Source organism: Homo sapiens, chromosome 6 (assembly GCF_000001405.40).
Source record: "Homo sapiens chromosome 6, GRCh38.p14 Primary Assembly".
In the NCBI taxonomy this organism is placed as follows: Eukaryota; Metazoa; Chordata; class Mammalia; order Primates; family Hominidae; genus Homo; species Homo sapiens.
Window position 1 is genome coordinate 137954819 of NC_000006.12, and position 3411 is coordinate 137958229.

The 3411-nt window shown below is 38.7% G+C and overlaps 1 annotated feature.

The window, feature by feature from the left end:
• Window positions 547-1048: an enhancer, noted in NCBI's record as "NANOG hESC enhancer chr6:138276502-138277003 (GRCh37/hg19 assembly coordinates)". NCBI's record gives its function as "activates a minimal SCP1, AML or CMV promoter by ChIP-STARR-seq in primed H9 embryonic stem cells {active_cell/tissue: H9 hESC(primed)}" and the evidence as "EXISTENCE:reporter gene assay evidence [ECO:0000049][PMID:30033119]".

Sequence of the window (3411 nt, forward strand, 5' to 3'; positions counted from 1 at the left end):
TAAAGATTGTTGCCAAGTTCACCCTTGTTTGGGGACTTGATAGCAATTTTCCCTTAAAAACCAAAATTCTACTCACTAGCCATGGGTTATACTGGGAAGAACTACTGCCAGCTTGTTGTGTGCACACACGTGCCATTTCTCCAATTATTCCCAGGTTGCTCTCCAGATTGGCTGTATCATTTTACATTTTTCACCTGCGGTGCAAGAAGATTGTAATTTTCTTCAAAACCCTGCTAACATATGGTAATATCAGATTTTCTCATTATTTACTATGACGGGGATAAAATGGTTTCCCATTTTCATTGAGGCACTATTTGTTTTTGTTTTTGTTTTTGGTGGTGGTTTTAAGGAGCAGAGAGTTTAATAGGCAAGAAAGAAGGAAGAAGCTCCCCCATACAGAGACCCAGGGAGGGGCAGTTCCAAAGCCAAGTGAGGAAACCCTGTGTGCCTTGGAAAAGTGGCTGCTTATATGAGGTGGCTGGAGGAGGTGGTGTCTGATTTGCATAGGGCTCAGGGGATTGGTTTGACCAGGCATGTCACTCACATAGCCCGTGGAAAAAAACTGGACCTCCCACCTAGCCTTTTAATATGCCAATGCAGGGTGCCACGCTGTTCTACACACGTGGAGATACATGGGGGTGGCCATGTTGCCAGGCATGTGTGAGGCCAGGGCAAGAAGAAGAGGGCGGGAATCGCCATGTTTGGGTGGACCCAGTTTCTAATGGCCTTCATTTGCATATCAAAGCTTACCGGCCAGGTCTAAGAACCTGCGCTTTCCTGTGAAGCGCTCTGATTATTATGTGGTTGACCATCTATTGATGTGCTTGCTTGCTATCCATGCCGCTTCCTACTTTTTGGAATCTGCTCCTCATTTTCTTCCAGAGTGTTTCACTTGGTACTTGGTGTGGTGATAGTTGATATTGTTGTTCATTTGAAGAAGTTCTTTGTATTTTCTTTTTTCTTTTTTTTTTTTTTTTTGAGACGGAGTCTTGCTCTTTCGCTTAGGCTGGAGTGCAGTGGCGCGATCTCAGCTCACTGCAAGCTCCGCCTCCCGGGTTCACGCCATTGTCCTGCCTCAGCCTCCCAAGTAGCTGGGACTACAGGCGCTGACCACCAGGCCCAGCTAATTTTTTTGTGTTTTTAGTAGAGACGGGGTTTCACCGTGTTAGCCAGGATGGTCGTGATCTCCTGACCTCGTGATCTGCCTGCCTCGGCCTCCCAAAGTGCTTGGATTACAGGCGTGAGCCACCGAGAAGTTCCTTGTATTTTCTAGATATTACTTGTTAGTTATAAATATTGCAAATATCTTAATATATTGTGTATGCCTTAACTTTTTTGAGAATCTTTTACTTAACAGACATCTTTCATTTTGATGTATTCAAACTTATTAACTTTTACCTTCAAGTTTGTGTACTTGCTTTTAAATTCATTAATTTTCACATTTATTTTTATTTATTTCTTCTTCCTATTGTTTTTTGCTTTTTTTCCTCTAGAATCTTCAGTTAAATGCCTAGTTGTTTTATGCTCATCTTTTAGTTTTTAAAATTTACGCAGTAAATGTGGGCTACATTAATATTATTGCTTTGGTGACAAATATTTTCGAACCTAACAAAATTTTATTTTAAAATTTAGTATTTTTAACTCCAAATCTTTGACCAAGGTATTTTTCTTTCCTTCTTTTTAAAATTTTTTTATTTTTAATTTTTATGGGTACATAGTAGGTATATATGTTTATGGGGTACATGAGATATTTTGATACAGGCAGACAATGTATAATAATCACCTCCTGGTAAATTACAGGGCATCCATCACCTCAACCATTCATCATTCCTTTGTGTTATGAACATTCCAATTGTACTCCTTCAGTTATTCTAAAATGTACACGAATTATTGCAGACTGTAGTCACCCTGTTGTGTTATCAAATACTAGATTCCTATTCTTTGTATCTATTTTTGTACTCATTAACAAAAAATGTTTCTGCTTTGAACTGTTTTCCATCTACTACTTTGCAGATGTTGTTTACTTTTAAAAATAGATTTTATAACTGGGCTAAAACAAATATATTGCTAGAAATCAAAGTCTACATCATATAAAGTAGGGTCTTCACAGCAAGCAAAAAAACCAAACTACCCTCAGGTACAAACCAAACCCACCCATTCTTTCCTACCCTAATTTTTCCTTTCTTTTCCACCCTAATTTTTCCTCTCTTTCTCTGTGCTGCTAAATGTTTAACATCTGGAACTGTTTGAGGTTTTTGGCTTTACTCTATTTTTTATGTATTTTTTATCATTATCATTATTCTGTGAGAACACAAGGTTATTTAATATTAAATAGCTATGAGTAGAGAGGAAACTCGAAAGTCATTTTCTTAATTCATTACTGTCATACATTTCTTAATTATTGCAATGAGGATGAACCCATGTAAACTGAACCTATACTTCAGCCAATGCTGTAAATACAAATTGCAACTTAAGAAACAGCAAAAGAAATATAGAGGCTTGACCGTATCTTATTAATTTGTTCATTCAACAAATATTTATTAAGGGCTTATCATGTGCACTATTCTGACCACAAGGAATCTAGCAGTTAACAAAGTGGACAAGATCCATGTTCATCTCTCCACCAAAGCTTTTTAGGAAGAGAAGCCGCAATAAAGAAATAAACAAAAATAGAAGTAATTTTAGATATGGGTGTATCCCAGAAAGAAGCTAAGACATGGTGACCTGAGAGCCGAGAACTTACCCAACAAGAAGCCAGCAATGTGGAGGTCATCCGGAGGAGCAAGAGTGGAGGCCATAGCAAATGCAAATGACCTCAGCAAGGCCCTTCTCTTTATCCAAAATGCAACAAGAATCAGGCTTATTAGAGTCAATTGCTGGAAATGAAAGAGAAACTATGTTTCTAAAATGGTTCCTCACAAAATTTCACAAATAGGAATTGACTGTAACACTATGCAGTCAGGAGGGGAGTCATGATGGGAAAAGTAACCCAATTCTGGAAAAATAACAATGTTTATGGATTGCTTTTTAAAAAAAAATAGGTGCAAATTTTCTTAAGGATTGATTTCTCAACCTGTAAGGACCATTTCTCCTGAGAAAAGGTTGACATGGCCCTGCTCTCAACACACAAATTAAAGTATCACAGGGCAGCATTTTCTTCCACTCCCAAACTTTCCATCCAGCTAGAGGGCTTGCTTCTCACTCCTTTACCCTCCAATGTCCAGCCCAGTTCATTCCAGGCTTTCACAGTCCCGGATCTTTCCCTAGAAGTCTAGGCCTCTCTTGTCTTTCTTACCCAAACCATTTATTCCCACTCAGCCCAACATCCTCTTAATTTGTATTTCTCACAGCTAGACCATCAGCAAAGCAGAGGGCCCTCCAGAGACTAAGGTCACCCATTAGAAGACAGTA